The sequence below is a fragment of the Homo sapiens genome, chromosome 6 (genome assembly GCF_000001405.40).
Source record: "Homo sapiens chromosome 6, GRCh38.p14 Primary Assembly".
Taxonomy (NCBI): domain Eukaryota; kingdom Metazoa; phylum Chordata; class Mammalia; order Primates; family Hominidae; genus Homo; species Homo sapiens.
In genome coordinates, this window is record NC_000006.12 from 147,493,551 (window position 1) to 147,510,986 (window position 17,436).

At 43.3% G+C, this 17,436-nt stretch overlaps 1 protein-coding gene across 2 annotated transcripts in view, besides 2 other annotated features; it reads left to right on the forward strand.

The window, feature by feature from the left end:
* Positions 10,003-10,532: an enhancer, noted in NCBI's record as "OCT4-NANOG hESC enhancer chr6:147824689-147825218 (GRCh37/hg19 assembly coordinates)". NCBI's record gives its function as "activates a minimal SCP1, AML or CMV promoter by ChIP-STARR-seq in naive H9 embryonic stem cells {active_cell/tissue: H9 hESC(naive)}" and the evidence as "EXISTENCE:reporter gene assay evidence [ECO:0000049][PMID:30033119]".
* Positions 13,292-13,341: a silencer, noted in NCBI's record as "silent region_17650". NCBI's record gives its function as "represses an Ori minimal core promoter by ATAC-STARR-seq in GM12878 lymphoblastoid cells {active_cell/tissue: GM12878}" and the evidence as "EXISTENCE:reporter gene assay evidence [ECO:0000049][PMID:35858748]".
* Positions 15,140-17,436, forward strand: part of SAMD5 (sterile alpha motif domain containing 5) — a 445,991-nt gene continuing 443,694 nt past the window's right edge. For both annotated transcript variants that reach the window (XM_017010850.2, NM_001030060.3), the window contains exon 1: positions 15,140-15,837. In XM_017010850.2, the coding sequence (XP_016866339.1) occupies positions 15,379-15,837 (459 nt within the window). In that variant the 5' untranslated portion in view covers positions 15,140-15,378. The remainder of the gene's footprint in view (positions 15,838-17,436) is intronic.

Sequence of the window (17,436 nt, forward strand, 5' to 3'; positions counted from 1 at the left end):
TCATCTCCCACCATTAGAAGAGACTCTTCCTTTGCTGCTCACCCTTCTCCAGCCCTTGCCCCGTTTCTCATATCCCTCGCAGTATGACTCCTTAGAGCAATTGCTCATTCTACCACCTCCTCTTCCTCCTCTGAGTCTCTCTTGAGCTTGCTCCAGCTGAAACTGCTCCTGACCAAGTCAGAAACTGACCTCTGTGGTGTCCAATTTAAAGTCAATTTCAGTTCTCGCCTCTCAGGAACCATCAGCAGCATTGGACACAGTGGCCCATTCCCTTTTTGAAACAGCTTTATTCACAGATTCTAGATCTCAACCTCACTGGCTGCTCTTTTTCCTTCCCTCCCCTCCTCCCGCTCCTCAGAGTCCCTTTTAGGTTCTGCATGTTGGAGTGCCCTAAGTTTTAGTCTTGGCCTTGTTCAATCTAGTCTGTCCTGTGACTTTCAATACCAACTATATGCTGAAATGGCCCACGTTTATATCTCTGCGACCTGTCTCCCCTAGCTAGACTCATCTGGACAGCTCCATTTGAGGGTTTGTGTTGGAAAGAAATGGCTTGTTCCTCCCCACCCCTACCCCAAAATCACTCATCACCTATCTTCTCTATCTTAGGATGTGGCAGTCCATTCACTCACTTGCTCATGCCAAGAATTTAGAAGTCAACTTTGGTTTCTCTCTTTTTCTCGGTCTGCTTTCAGCGCATATCACAGTGTATCATAAATTCTGTTCGCTTCTTACTAACTGTACCACTATCATCATGCCTGAGTCCAAGTCACTCTCATCTCTTGCCTGGCCTATGAAGCAGCTTCCTAAGTGGCCTCGCTGATTCTGCTCTCTGTCCCTGTGGTCTCTATTCCATGGGGCAGCCAGAGTAGTCCTGTTAAATCATGAATCAGCTCATATTGTTCCCCTGCTCAAAACCCTCCAGTGGCTCCCAACACATGTGGAACAAGCTGCAGCACCCTTACAGTGATTTGGCCCTGTCTCCCCAGTACTGATTGCTGCCACTCTCACTTTGCTCCAGCACATAGACCTTCTTTCTGCTCCCGAAACACACCCTCCTGGGTGTGGCCTCAGTACCCTTGCGTTTGCAGTTCCTTCTATCCAGAACACTCCTTCCTCCAGGTACTTCATGACTTGTTTTATTCCTTTCTCCACTTTATTTTTTTTTTCATCTTTTTTATCTTCACCTGAAATGATATATTTATTTAAGCTCCATGAGGAGAGAAACGTTGTCTCTCTTGGGTACTGCTGCCTCTCTATGCTGAGAGAAGTGCTTGAAATAATAATAGATGCTCAGTAGATATTAAGTAACAAGACAATCAATGGTATAAGGTATTTTCCAAATTTTAAATTCTGATTCCACCCCTTTGGTACACTGGATATTGGCCATATTCTTTTATATAGAGCTCTTGTATTTGTTTGCTTGGGCTGTGTATCAGACCATTCTCACGCTGCTAATAAAGACATACCTGAGACCGTGTAATTGATGAAGGAAAGAGGTTTAATTGACTCACAGTTTCTCAAGGCTGGGGAGGCCTCAGAAAACTTGCAATCATTGTAGAAGGGGAAGCAAACACATCCTTATTTCCATGGTGGCAGGAGAGAGAAGAGTAAAAACTGAGTGAAGGGGGAAGCCCCTTATAAAACCATTAGATCTTGTGAGAACTCACTCTCTGTCTTGAGAACAGCATAGGCAAAACTGCCCCCATGATTCAATTACCTCCCGCTGGGTCCCTTACATGACACATGGGGATTATGGGAACTACAATTCAAGATGAGATTTGGGTGGAGACACAGCCAAACCATATCAGGCTGATATTAGAAAAAACTATGTTTTGTTTTGTTTTGTTTTTGTGGCAGCGACTGGTTGGCTTAAACAACAGAAATGTATTTTTCACAGTTCTGGAGGCTGGGAAGTCAAAGATCAAGGTGACAACAAGAGCCTAGGGAGAGTCTTCTTCCTGGCTTGCAGATGGCTGACTTCTTGCTGTGTCCTCACATGGTGGAGGTCAGGGGGATAGACAGGGAGAGAGAGAGAACTCGAACAAGTGCACTCTCTGGTCTCCTTATAGTAGCAGTAATCCCACTACACACCTAAACCTAATGACCTCCCAAAGGCCCTGCCTCATAGTATATCACACAGGGGGTTAGGGCTTCAACATATGAATTTTGGGGGGCACACAAACATTCATTCCATAACAGCTCCTTTTGTAGTTCTAGTTCCAGGCCTCCTCAATGCTGACCTATACATGACATCTCTGATCTTTGTTATCATCAATTTCACTCCCTGAGAGAGGGTCCATTTTCTGTTTTAACTACAATAGACTATCTTGTGCCTATCTACAGGATTACAGATCATCCCATAGGGCAATGTGGAGTTTTCAAAACCTGTATATTTGTTTAACATATTATGGAAATTTGCAAACACATAAACTAGTAAAGAGAGTAGGATAATGAACTCAATGCAATATCACTCAGCTTCAACAATGAACCCATGGCTAATCTGACTTTATGTATTATGTTATCACTTACTCCCTTCTGGGATGATTTTGCAGTAAACCCCAAGCATTATATGACTTCATCTGTAAAAGTTTCATCTTTAATGTATAAGGAATCTCTACATTTATCAAAAAAGGAAAATGTACATAACTACAAAACCATGATCACAGCTAAACATTCACAATTAGTTTTTAAATATTAACAAATTTCTGGTCAGTATACACATTATTTTGTTTTTTTATAATAATTTTTGACAATGTTTGTGTGAATCAGGTTCCAGAAAAGTTTCACATTTTAAAAATTGGCTGATCTGCCTTTTATGTCTCTTGTGGAATTCTCTCTCCCTCTCTCAGTTCCTCTCTTTCTCTTCTGCACCCATTTTTTTTTTTTTTAAGAAACCAGGTCATTCTTTTCTTCACAGTCTCCCTCACTCTGGATTTTGCTGATTTCATCTCCCACGTGTTCATCCGTTGTATTTCCTATAAATTGGTAGTTACATTCGCAGCTTTGATCAGATTCAGGCTCAGTATAACTTCTGGCAAGACTACTTCATAGGTGGTGTTGTCTACTTTCAGAAGAAAGTAATAATAATGCCTGAATTTCTCTATTTTTTGATGCTATCAGCCATTGATGATATTACGTAGATCAGCAGTTATCAAACTTTTTCTTATGAGCATATTACATTCTTAAAAATTACTGAGTGTCCTGCAGAGCTTTTTTTTAAATGTGGGTTTTATCTATTCATATTTATTATATTAGGAATTAAAGAGAAAGGAGCTTTAAAATATTTATTAATTTAAACTAACAACAAGCCCTATTAAGGTGACAGAAATATTTTTATTGAAAATAATTATTTTCAAAAATAAAAAATGTTTAACAAGAGGGACACGGTTTTAGATTTTTTACATCTTTTTACTTTCTGTCTATTTAATAGTAGACATTTGTATTCTCCTTTCTGCTTCTCCATTCAATCTGTTGCAATCTATTGCTTTAGTTGAAGTATCTAAAGAACTTCAACCTCACAAAGATGTATATTTGAAAGTGTCAAAATTATTTTAGCACTTTTTCGGTTAATTGCACATATTTTTCTTTACCAAAACTTGAGAAATGGTAATTTATTAAAGATTAGTTGCAGTGTATAATCTGAAACCATGTCAACAAACTTTCATTCTGTTACATTAAAATCCCTTGGTTTATCTTAGTCTTTTAATAGATATCTTACCCTTGCCTTATTTTGTGATATTAGTTGGAAAATATTGAGTCACTAATATACGTGATCTTACAATTGTGGAAAAATTTCATTATTCAATGTCAAAGAAACACCACATGCATTAGTAACTATCAATGTTATTAGATAGAAAAGCCTGTCAATATTGGGAAGCTGTCCAAATAATGCTGGCAAATGGAAGTTTTCCAAAATTCAAATTTTTAATTTAAAGCTTGAATCTTATCTTGAGCAGTGAGTACTGTCAGTTTACTTGAAGTGTCAGATTTATTCTACTCATTTTCAAAAACATATCTGCCAGATCCAAATCTGTATAACCATAATTTTTCTGTCGGTCACTTCTTAAAGTGAAAATCATGTACCATGAAAAATGTGGCTAGTTTAGCTGGCAACTCAAACAATCACATGAGTGGTTTTCAAGGAGATGACCAGCATGGGTCAGAATGCAGTACAAGTGCCTCATGTGTTTTTCACATTTTATTACATGGATTTTTTTTAAGTACTCAAATTTCAAGATTCAATACAAGTAATAATTTTTACTGCTCCATGAAGGAAATTCTTACATTAAACTGGCCTTTCCTCCTGCAGCATGTGGTGGTAGAGAATATAACTGCCAGTAGCACAGTTGATGCCACCGCCTTGATTTGTGCTGAGGCACCAGCTTTTTTGTCCACCATTGCTTTTGTATCACCAATATAAATGTGAACAAAGGGAAAAAGGCCAATAATGTTTTAGCATTGCCATGAAAATAATATTGAACTTGTGATTTCCCTAAAAGGGTCCTAGGGATGTTCAGCAGCCCATACCCAGAAATCTGCTGGTTCAGATACTTTATTTTATTAGAAGTTGCATTAGTGATACTGTAATTTACTTAGCTGGAATATGTGTATAAAGAAACCCCTCCTCCTGAATGATTTTGTTTCCTCAGGTACAGATCACATAGAAAAAACATAAAAAGTGTTTGATACACTCCCTATATGTGCCAGTTTTCAGAATAAGGAAGTGGTTCTCTAACATTCTTTAAAGGTTACCAATTAAGGTTTTATTACAATATTAGATGAGCTTATGAGTTTAAACATATGTGATGGGTTTCAACTCAATTCAATTGTCATCCTTATTGGTGATGCTCAAATTATTCCATCTTTGCCTGATGAGAACTTATTCAGGTTGGCCACTGATTTTTTTTTGGCATGATCTTAATCATCTTTGATAAATTCCTTGCTTTCTGATATGAAAAAAATTTCCAGGTCCATTTTGTTCATTTACTGCTGTTGCTGACAAACAGGATTTTAAACCTAGAATCAGGCATTTCTTCAAGGAGCCCTAGTTCCTTTTACTGGGAAACAGTATTCAAGAATAAATTTGGATGCTAGAGATCTCATTACAATTGGGTCAACCATTGCTCTAAATCTTTTCATAGAGCTAAAAATTATGGGTTTTTTAAAAAGAGAAAAATACATTATGAGCTCATACTGATATTTCAAATTAAAATTTAGGATTATAGACTATTTATTTAAACTCATTGATCTTACAACTGTATCTCCTTTCAATTATGCCAAAAATCTTGGATCTCTACAACACTAACAAGGATTCATTTTTTTATACTGTATTATACACATAACAATCTCAGTATAATTCTCATACTCCTGCCAACACGTTACTGAAAATAGTTTATGATTTATTGCTGTTCTTTTTTCCTCAGGGTAACTGTATTAGTCCATTTTCACACTGTTATGAAGATACTACCTGAGACTGGATAAATTACAAACAAAGGAGGTTTAATTGATTCACAGTTCTGCATGGCTCAGGAGGCCTCAGGAAACTTACAGTCATGGCAGAAGAGGAAGCAGGCACCTTCTTCACATGGCCACAGGAGAGCAAATGAGAGGGGGGAAGTGCTAGACACTTATCAAACAACCAAATCTTGTGAGAACTCACTCACTATCAGGAGAACAGCATGGGGGAAACCATCCCTATAATCCAATCACCTCCCACCACATCCCTCCCTCAACACCTGCGAATTACAATTTGGATTACAATTCAAGATGAGATTTGGATGGGGACAAAGAGCCAATCCATATCAGTAACTCAATCAGGCATGTACAATCAAATTATTATTTTTAAAAGTCTCTTGGAATAGCTCCTCTCAGTTTGGTCACGCTACTCTAAGACAGAGGTTCATTTGTTTTATTTTACTTCTAATTTTGCGAGGTTGCTTTTTAAAATTTCACTTTGTTTTACGATTATGTAAAGCGTTTCCATGGCTCCACAGTCAAATCCACAAAATATATATTCAAAGAAGTCTAGGTCCTGTCCCCAACCCTCTACTCTATTCTGCCTACCCCTTTTTAGGTAATCATTTCTTAAGTGTTTTTTCTTCCATTGTTTTATTTTAATTATATAGTCCTACCTCCTCCTTAAATAAAGAGTAGCATGATATATATACTTTTCTCCATCTTGCTTTTCCCCCCAAACCTTGAAGAATGCAGAGGCTATAAGTGCCAACCTTCACGCGGTCAAAAATCCAAGTAAAACTTTTTAGTCTGCAGAAATGTAACTACTGTAACTACTAATAGCCTACTGTTGCCTGGAAGCCTTACTGACAACATAAATAGTAGATTAACACATATTTTCTAGGTTATATGTATTATATACTATATTCTTACAATAGCAAGCTGGAGAAAAGAAACTTATTAAGAAAATCATAAGGAAGAGAAAATGTACTTACTATTTCTTAAATGGAAGTGAATTGTCATAAAGGTCTTAACCTTTGTCATCTTCATGTTGATTAGTCTGAAAAAAAGGGTTGGTCTTGCTGTTTCAGGGGTGGCAGAGGTGGAAAAAAGTCCTTGTATAAGCAGACTGGCGCAGTACAAACTGGTGTTGTTCAAGAGTCAACTGTAGTGATATATCCTGGAAATCACTGCATTCTAGTGTATAGAAGTAGTCTTCAATTCTTTCAACAGTTGCCAAGTACTTTATTATGTTGATGTACCATGGTGTATTCCATCAGTCCTTTATTGATGGATATTTGGGTTGGTTCCAGTCTTTAGCTGTTACAGAGTGCTGTGATGAATAGTCTTGTGCATACTATTATCTTATTTTTAAAATTTTTGCTAGTGTATCTTTGGGATAGAGTCCCAAAAGTAGAATTGCTAAATCCAAGGGAAAATGCATATGAAATGTGCTGGATATTGACAAATCCCACTCCAAAGGCATTGTGCTGAGTATTCAGTTATTTTTTTCTCGTTTCTATACTTCCCATTTTATCCTCTGTTCTGTGAAAGGGCCGTATGTGCAAAATGACCTCCAAACATTAAAGGAGTCAAGCAAGAAAAGACCAAGGCAAATATAATAAATCCAGTTTATCAGTCTGGGGTGTTTTATTGGGGGAGCTTACAGATAGAAGCATGGTCTTGGGCAGCTGCAAGATAGGTAGATCTCTACAATGTTACTCCCCAGACCCAAGGCTTCTATACCATAGGGGAAGGGCATATGTACACCAGCAAGATAATTAAAGGCACTTTCCAGAACAGGCAAGAATGCTATGTGCATAAGAGCTATAATTTGTGCAATAACATCAAGGTTGGCTTGTTCTTTCACTAGGGACAGTACATAAAGTGGAAACCAGGAGGAATTCACGGGACTGGGATTAATCAGACGTTAGCATGGCAGATCAGCATCAAAGATGGAGTTACTTTTGTCTCCACACCCTCCACTTTGAGAAGCTGGGGCCAGGACTCTACACATATTTCTGCTTTACTAGCTGGCTCCCTATCGAGTTTTTCCAAAAGCATGCAAAATGTAGACTGAACAGCAGGAAAAAGAATGACCAGGAGACTGGCTGCTTTCTGCTTTGTTTCCTCTTCCTGCCAGCATCACCCAAGCCACAGTTTTTCACCCAGTAGGGGTAGGTTACAGTTTCCAATTTTCTACATTCCTAGAACCTTCTCAGTATCCACACCAGCCAGTCAGCAGCCCAGCTCAGAAGTCTGAGCCTCTGCTCTGTGGGGGCCCCCGGGGCTCCTGTATGTCCAGGTGGTTTCCCTTCCTTGGAGGTCTGGGCCCAGCCTCATGGGGTTCTTTCTCCTAACCAAGCAGAAAGCACTCCCTTTTCAGAATTCTGGGTCCCAGCTCAGAAGGGCTCCTCTTCCAAGTTTCTATATTCTAATAATCCCAACCTTCTTCCTTTGTTTCCCCAACCTTTAAGGATAATTAATAATCCATTGCTTTCGATGGCAAAAACTTCAATGACTTTTGCACCAATATAACACTTCCTAAAGTTACCACATCTGGTATACTTCAGAGTTTACTTTATCTTTCAGACTCTTCAATACCTGATTAACAATTCTGTTTCTATTAAATTAAATCATATGAGTGCTATTTGGCTAACAGAGGGATTGTACCATTTTATCTTTATTTTTACCCATAATTTATGAGAATGCTTGTTCTCTCAACCTTGCCTGCTAAACCTTATGATTTGTGCTAATCTAATAGGTAGGAATAGTCTTTCAGTGTAGTTTGAGTGTGCATTTTTCTTTTCTTCTTTTTATTTTTTGAGATAGGGTCTTGCTCTGTCACCCAGGCTGGAGTGCAGCGGAGTGATCATAGCTCACTGCAAGCTCAAATTCCTGGGCTCAAGCGATCTCCTGCCTCAGCCTCCCCAGTAGTTGGGACTACAGGCATGCACCACCATGCTTGCCATTTTTTTTTTCCAATATAAATGAGGTCTTGCTATGTTGCTCAGGTTGGTCTCGAACTCCTGGCCTCAGGTGATCCTCCCACCTTGGCCTCCTAAACTGCATTTTTCTTACTTTGAGTCTACTTGAGAATCATTTCAAATGAGGGTCTATTTGTTTGCTTGTCTATTTTTTCTGAGAACTCTCTGACCCATCTTTCCATAGCCCTGCTGGCCTTTTATTTTCTCTATTTTTAATGCTTTTTCTGCATTAGCTATACCAATCTATGGTTACCATATAAATTCTAAATATTTTCCCACAAGGACAAGCTGTTGTCTATTTACTTTGCTAACAGAGGTTTTTGTTCCCATGCAAAGGTTTATCATATTTATATGATCAAAAGTATCAAGGTTTTTCCCCATTGCTTCAAGAAGTTGAATCAAAATTAGGAAAGTTCTCTCCACTCGGATTATAGAGGAATAAACCCATGTTACCTTTTAATTAAGTATATTGTTTCATCTTAATCTTTACATTTCTGAAACGTGGAATTTATCCTATTGTAAAGCATAAAGAAAATGTCATCTATGTTACTTCTCTGGGCAGGTCCCTGAAGACCCTCTCTGCTTGCTTATGACCCCAGCAAGTCCTCTAAGGCCACAGCATGCTGGCTGAGAGCATACTACCCCAAGCCACGGCCCTGGTCCAAGCTGTGGGCATCTGGGCTCACTAAGACAAGACAGTTGAACAGCTCCAAGAAAGGGTCTGAAATTTGGCTTTTGTGAAACTGTTAAGCACAAAAGTTTTGAGGGAATATTCAAAACATCTCCTACTTTCAGGTTGTCAGGATTATTTCTAGGAACTGAGCTTTTCTGATGTAGGCATCTGATGCCTCACCTACGTCTTGTATTTGCACATTTATAAATAGGGTCTAAGAGACGATGTATATATATATAGCCTCCAAGGTCAGAGATAGTTTCAAAACTGGGATGCACTCCACACTGCCTTGCTCCAAAGCTGCAAAAAGGCAAGATCTCAGGCGTTACTAAGAGCTCTAATTATGCTGGGTTCTTATAATTTAAGAATTCAAGAGTTATAAAGTATAAATTCCAATAGCAAGTTTAAACCAGACAAGAAGCACTGAAAATTTTAAAACAAATACATAAAATTACATTGCCTAAAGAGAGAAAACCAACCACCTCTCAGTCATCAGTAGCCATGCAGGTCTCAGGAAGCAGGCTCTATGGGATCGCTTGTCCTAACTCCAGAATGGGAAGAAACTGTCAGATGGGAAAAATGTTGTTTAGTCAATTTGCATTGGTCATAAATTGAGTGATTTCATTGTTGTGATTATATACATGACTTGCACTTGTCTGAAATAGCATTGACCAATATAATTTCACTTGTATGGGGTTACATAACCTAACATTTAGGTGCTAAATTATAATAGCTTTGCTCATTTAGAATGATAAAATAAAGGTACTCCTAAGAGCTGCCCATTGTTATCTAACAAAATACTGCACCTATCATTTTTACCTCAGAAGACACTAGATTAACCTTTTCCTCCTCTTCTGGAGTACATTTTAAAACGTAGAACTTTTGGGGATTACCAAAGATGAGAGAATAAAATTTTTGAAAAATGGTTCGTATTTGATTTTCTGTCACAAACACAGTCTGTAGCTTGGCTCTCTTTTTGTTAGTGACCTCTAAGTGAATGACTTCTTGAACATGCATTTCCTCCCCCTTTGTTCCTTCTTTAAAGAAAGAAAGGCCTGTTATAACAGCAACGAATAATCTAATGGGATCCTGCTGGCACTCCCCACTGCTCCTTGTCTTTCCTTCTTTCATATGTGTGTTGTCACACACAAGTCTAATGTATACAGCTCAGACATATTAAGAGACACCCCCACCCTGCCTGCCCCCAATTAAGTTGCCAACCCAGCACCTCACTCCCAGCCACCGAAGAAGAGATTGCCTGTTACATCACTCAAGCCCATTATTCTCTTTTCTCCCTATGGCATCCACTCCTTCTAGATGCTTTTTAGCTCCTGGTTTAAGCAGAGGCAAGACATATTTTGCATTTTAAGATTAATATTATATATCTTTGACTTTTACAAGGCTAGACACCCTGGGGACTGACATTTAATAGATGTTAATGGAATTTAATTTTTACATGCACTAGGTGTGAGCATTTATCTTCTAAAATAGTCTGAAACCTTAGACGGCACCAAGAAAATTCCATAACAAATTATTTTTCACTCTATATCCTTAAATCAAGTTACTGAGCAAAGTAGAAAAGCTGTTTTCTGATATTTAGAATTTAAAACCTGAATATAATTATCATTAATTAATTACATGGAAAGGATCAACAGGCATTTTGCCATAGTGATTACCATTGCAAAACAGTTCTAAAATGGTGCCTAAAAAGAAACTTTCTCCATAACCTATTTTCCCATTGATTTTCATTAGGCAAGACATCCCCTCTGCAAAAGTAAGTGTGGCCCCAAACATATTAAATAATAATCAGCATGATCAATATTTTGAAAATTTTTATATAACTCTAACAAAGCAATGATAAAAGTAACACAAAATTAGAGGTAGTTGACCATGTTTTCTGAGTAAATTGTGTGTTCTAACGCTGTGACTAGGAGCAGAGTAGCCACTTGCATTTTCAAAGTACATTTTTGTCTGGATTTCAAATACAGTTTAATTTTGAATTTTGGCTAATATGATCACAGAATTTGGAAAATATTACAGATAGAAGAAAACACTGCTTTGTATCTTTGTAATCTTTACAATTCATGAACTAACATATTTGAAAAAGCTGTCAATTTATTCTCTACATATTTAAAATGCTGAAGTCCCTCCCATTCCAATTAATGAAGGAAAACCCTTCTTTTTTTGCTTCAGTGCCTGGCACTGAAGTGCCTACTTAATAAACATTTGATGAGTAAATGAATGATTTTGACAGTAGCCAAGAGCTTGCAGCAAAAATGAGGTAATGCAGTACATTGCAAAGAGCAATGTGAGGAAGCGGATCTGGGTTCTTGTCCCAGTTCTGTCATGAACCAGCTGTGTAACTTTAGGTAAGGAACTTGACCTCTCTGGGCCTTGGCTTCCTCCATGCAAATCTGGATGCTGGGTATGACCTCCAATGACCTCTAGTTCTAAAAGGCTACAGTTCTAAATCTTAAAATTAGCCATTCTTGCCAGTGTCACTTTGAACTTTAGCCATTAGTCTCCACAGAGATAGACACATTTTAGCGTAGTAGCCTCTAGAATGAAATCTATTAAAAGGTTCAATATGCTAATGCAAGCAGTGGAAAGATACAAGCCTCAATGGTTCACCCAAAGAGGACTCGAGTAAGTGTAGAAGTGTACAAGAGAAATAGAAGGGAAACCTGGGAAAAAAAAGTCTCTATAGCTCAGACTAGTGAAGTCTCCAGAAAGCAGGTTTCCTGAGAGGTCAAAAGTGAGTAGGTTTTATTTATGACTGATTAACAAGTGATGAATTTATAAAGGGCTTCCCTTCCAAAGAGAGCACCAGAATGCTTTATTTCCTAATTGGAGAGTGCTTTGCACATAAATAAAGGAGGATCGCTGCTGCCTGTCAGGGAAGCACTTTGATAGGGCAAGCATGTTCTCGTCTGTGTCCTGATTGACTGTGTGACCTTGGGCAAGTCATTCGTCTTCCCCCAACCAGTATCCCTAATCGTAAAACGGAAATAAAAATACTCACTGCCTTCGCTGAGGATTTATAAGACAAGATGAATATGTTTAAGCCCCCAGAGGGGAAAAGGCCACATATAAGAAGGCAAAGAACTACAGACTCGTGCTGTTGGACTTTTCATACAACTTGGGAAAGAAAACAACACAACAAAACTCTTGAGCTATAGGCCGGGCGCGGTGGCTCATGCCTGTTATCCCAGCACTTTGGGAGGCAGAGGCGGGCGGATCACCTGAGGTCAGGAGTTCCAGACCAGCCTGGATAACATGACGAAATCCCGTTTCTACTAAAAATACAAAAATTAGCTGGGCGTGGTGGCAGGCGCCTGTAGTCCCAGTTACTCAGGAGGCTGAGGCAGGAGAATTGCTTGAACCCAGGAGGCGAAGGTGGTAGTGAGCCGAGATCATGCCACTGCACTCCAGCCTGGGCGACAAAGTGAGACTCTGTTAAAAAGAAAAAAAAAAAAAAAAAAGAAAAGAAAAGAAAAGAAAAAAAGAAAGAAAGAAAGAAAGAAAAAAAGACAAAAAAACTCCTGAGCTTTAAGTTTTCCAGTCCCAAAACAAACAAACAAAAAACCCCCAAACAAACAAAAATCCTCACCCCATACAACCTGCCCATTTTTTCCCCCTACATGTTGCACAGCACAGCACAGGCTGGGGACTGTGATTCGAAGGTGAGTAGCTGGACGGCTGAAGGCTGATGTTAAATTTATCCCCCCAGAATTCGAACCCCTTGCTCCATCCGTAACAGTGAGATCGTTGGCAAATTAGTTTTGATGTCTCAATCTCTTCTTCTGTAAGATATGGGATAATATTACTATTTACCATATGTGTACAGATCTGTGAATAGATGCCTGGCATACAGTAATTTCCCAATAAATATTTGCTGATAATTTCTGTTTCTTAGCAGCATCATTCAAACTGCTGAAATATTTTCTTTAAAAAAAAATCAAAGGTCCTTCTGAGATAGTATTGGGATATAAAGATAAACGTGACAAAAACATTTGTGCTTCAAAGGGGAACCAGTATAAAGCCATAAAGCCCACTTTCTTCTGCTGAATAGAATGAGTTTGGGGACAGGGACAACGCCTTAAAATGGGTCAACGCGCGGACGCGAGGGGGCACTGTGAGTCCGCTTTGGCGAGGGAGAGGCGGCGGCCCGCGCGGGGCGGGGAGGGCTGCGCCCTTCCAGCATCCCAGCGCCCAGGAGCTTCGCCACCTACCAGGGTCCGAGACCTTAACTCGGTTCCGGAAAGGGCGTCCCGGGTGACCCAAGTTTGGGGCCACAAGCAGCTCCACCGGCTCTCCGCGTTGGTCTCTCCCCTCCCCCTAAGCAGACAGTCCTTTCTGCCAGCTGTCCTTAATTTGAGATTCGTGAGTCCCGGGGTTTGGGAAACCAGAACCCCCCTGCGACTGTAGGGAACGTTTTGGGTGCGCCTATGTCGGGTATTTTCCTGGGCAAAAGGACAGAAGCTGTCATCTGATTCTTTAAGGGGTTCGTGTCCCAAGAGGGGGTTAAGCTCTCTTGGTTTAGGATAAGAGGGCCCACCTAACCACCCACCCAAATGCCAAACACACAGCAGGTCGAGAAACGACTCTGAAATCACTCCTTGTCCACTTCCCAAGGTCGGGCGAGAGACTGGCACGCCCCACGGGCAATCTTCAGAAAAAAAGGTCAGATCTGGTCCTTAAACAGCTCAGGTGCGAAGCTGAATCGCCCTTCTGCGGAAAGAGAGGAGACAGTACCTGCCCCCGCCGTCCCTCACTTCCCTTAGTCCCAAGAAGAGGTCAGACACCGGGAAATGGGGCCCAGGCGCTTGGTCTGTTCCACCTGCCACTCGAGTCCCCAGTCCCAAGAGGCTGCTCAGACATTGGCATGATGGGGAAACTCGATTGATTTTGTTACCTCCTAGAGGGAAAATGCCGTGGGCGGAGATGTCTGAGCGTCCCTTCCAACACGAGCTGGGTGGTGCTCTATTGATTTTCACGCGATCCCCGGGCGGGAGCGAGAGGATAGGCTCGGATTCCCGGGCTCCAGGACCGAACGCCTGGCAGTGTCCCCGGGGGCAAAGCCACCCCGGGAGCCCGTGCAGTATACTAGGTGGGGGGCCCGGAGAGAAAGCATAGCGCCGACGAGGGGGAGGGGCCGGGCAGAAAGGAGGGTGGGGTACCGGGTGGGACACACTGACCTAGGAGAAAGTACAACCCACCCCAAACTTTCGCAGACCCGGGAGCTTAGGAAGGGAGAGCCAGGAAGACAGCAGCCTCTCCTGCCGCCCAACGTGCCCAGCTGCAGCGAGGAGGGGCGGCGCGCAAGCCGGCTGGACCCGGGCGGTCCCCACGTTGCGCCCACCCTCCGGGCCAAAACGCCGCCGCTCGGGTCACTGAGTGGCCGCCCACGGAAGAAGTCAGATCGCCGGGCTCTGGGCTGCGTACGGGATCCGAGGAAGGGGGATTCAAACGCGGATCCGGAAGGAAGGGACACTGAACCCCGCAGCGTCCCCAGCGCCGTGGGGCGGCGGGACGTGTCCTTGGGCTGCCAGCGGGCGCGGAAGCTGGAGTCCGGCAGGGTCGGGAAGAAGTGAGCACAGACTTCCACGGGTAGAAGAGTCAGATTAAACAGAAATGTGAAAAGCAACCCAGGGCAGCCAACGGAGCCCAGCAGCGTAGAAGCCACCGGCTTCCCGCCGGGAGGACTACAGTGACTGACACTCGCGAAGACTAGGCGCTCCCAGCGGCCGCGGGTCTGCGTGGAGAAGTCGCCTCGCGGCGCGGAGCGCGCCAGCGGCGGCGGCGGCTGCCAGAGCGCGAGATGCGGCGCGCAGCCGCCGGACCGTCCCGGCTGGGAAAACTCGCGGGCGGCACTGCGCAGCGCTGACCCGGCGCAGGTCCGAGGGGTGTGCCCCGGCCCCTCCCGTCTCCGCCCCCTCCCGCGCCAGTCGCGCGCCCCTCCCCGCGGCGGCAGCGTCGGCGGCGCATCCAGGGGCGGCGCGGAGCCTTGCTCAGCCCAGCAGCCAGTGCCTGCGAGCTCCGCTGCTGCTTGGGGAATTCACTTTGCTGCTTGTTCGCTTCTCCCTTCCTCAGGCTTCTTCTGATGGTTTTCCGTCTCCTGCCCGAGCCTTTCCTTTAAAAGGAAAACTTTACTGCGATACCCTTTTCCCCTTGGAGGAGAGGATTAAAAGTTCCAAGAACTGGTGCCGCCCGTGCCATTTGGGCGCTGGGAAGGTGCTCGGCGGCGGGGTTCCCGGTCCCACCATGTGCACCAACATAGTTTACGAGTGGCTCAAAGCGCTGCAGCTTCCGCAGTACGCGGAGTCCTTCGTGGATAACGGCTACGATGACCTGGAGGTGTGCAAGCAGATCGGGGACCCGGACCTGGATGCCATCGGGGTGCTGGCGCCCGCGCACCGCCGCCGTATCCTGGAGGCCGTGCGCCGGCTGCGGGAGCAGGACGCCAACGCCGCCGGCCTCTACTTCACGCTTGAGCCGCAGCCGGCGCCCCCCGGGCCGCCCGCCGACGCCGTCCCCACCGGCCGCCGGGGGGAGCCGTGCGGCGGCCCGGCCCAGGGCACCCGCGGGGACTCTCGCGGCCACACGACCGCCCCCCGCAGCAGGGAGCTGGTGAGCTACCCCAAACTGAAGCTGAAGATCATGATCAGGGATAAGCTCGTCCGTGACGGCATCCACCTGAGCAAGCCCCCGTACTCCCGCAAGGTAAGGAGGTGCCGTCCGGGCGGCCCGGGGCGCGCGGCGGGAGGGGACACAGCCCAGCTGCCTGTGCCAAGGCTTTGCAACCCATTCCAGGTGACGACGGAGAGGCCAGGAGGCTTTGGGTATCTGGGACCCTTTTCTATGTTCTTTCTGTATTAGCCCATTATTTCGTCCTTCCTGGTGTCTCCAGTGGTTGGTAAGACAAGCCCCCGCATCCAGATGTTATCTCTAAACTAACGACCAAAACTCCGCATCCTCTCTGGTGCTCGCCTGTCAGGAATCGGACTCGCGCTGCTTCACCTGGTAGCCAGGGGGAATTCCTAACGCCCTCTATAGTAGTTTTGGGTTTGAAGAGTACCAGAAAAAATGGTTAATACCTACATTGCTTTCTACCTTCCTTTTTCTCTTTCTTTTCCTTTTTTGAGTCTTGAGAAACTCCTAAGGGAAATCGGTGAACTCTTTAAAGAGTGGAAAGTCAGGCCCTGCCTTTCTCAATTCCATAAAAAATCCCAGCGCTGCTGCAAATTTGAGAAGCTTACCATTCACATGAGCATTTTAAGAGGAAAAGTGAAGGAAGCACGTGTCAGTCCACTTGAGATGATTTCCTAAACTTGTGTATACTGGAGGCAATAAGGTGCTAAGGACATCAGAGATAATCGGGCCACAGGATGTGCTTCAGAGGTCTGGGCTGTCACGAGTTTGGTTTATTATTAAGCCAGATAAGATGAAGTAGGTACAACTGTGACTTCCAGGAAGTGTGAGTGGACCTGCATTTGGGAGAGGAGGACCGAGCACAAGTGAACTAAAGGGGAATCCTCTGCACCGGGGGCCTCAGGGAAGGAACCTGGAAGTTCCGAAATGTGGAGTGGGAGCTGGGTAATTAACAGAAAATGGTACTTCACACCAGAGCTCTGCTTCTAGCTGCGAGTCTGTTCCGTTTAGGTTTCTAGTTCAGGCGGCTGTCGGAGTAGAGGGTCCTGACTTGATAGAGAAGTAGACAGCACAGGTAACGCTCAGGATTGCAGAAGGTGCACAGGAATATGAGCACCTCAGCTTAAAAATCAAGACTTAGAAGAGCCCAGGGAGAAAATGATGGCAAACATACTCAGCTGGTGGGCCACAGAAACCCAACTCCCTAATAGGAAATGTGGATAATCTCAGTGTTGTGTGGGTATCTTGGGCCCTGGTAGTATTGCTGTAGAATCTTAAGTAAAGGCTGTAATGCCTGGAGTTAAGGAAGTTAAAGGGAAAGCTTTGTTAAGAGTAGATAACAATACCTAAGGTAGATGGGAATAAGGGGTTTAATATTATCTACTACCTTGCACGTACCATAGGCAATTCAGATCACCTGCTTGACCATGTTAATTGGTTTTTTAAGGAGGATACAAAGAAGGCAGGTTGGGAGGACAGAGTGCTTCAAATTAAACACGTGTTCCAGTTACCCACTCTGTGCCACTGATGTGTGCTCAAAGCAGGAAAGGAGAGAACACTTTTCCCAGGCAGTTGCCTGTATGTAGGAGTTCCATGTATGTCTGGTGTGGATAGAGAGATCTGGTCATCAGTATAAAGGCTTGGTCCTGGACACAGCAGGTCAAAGGAGAT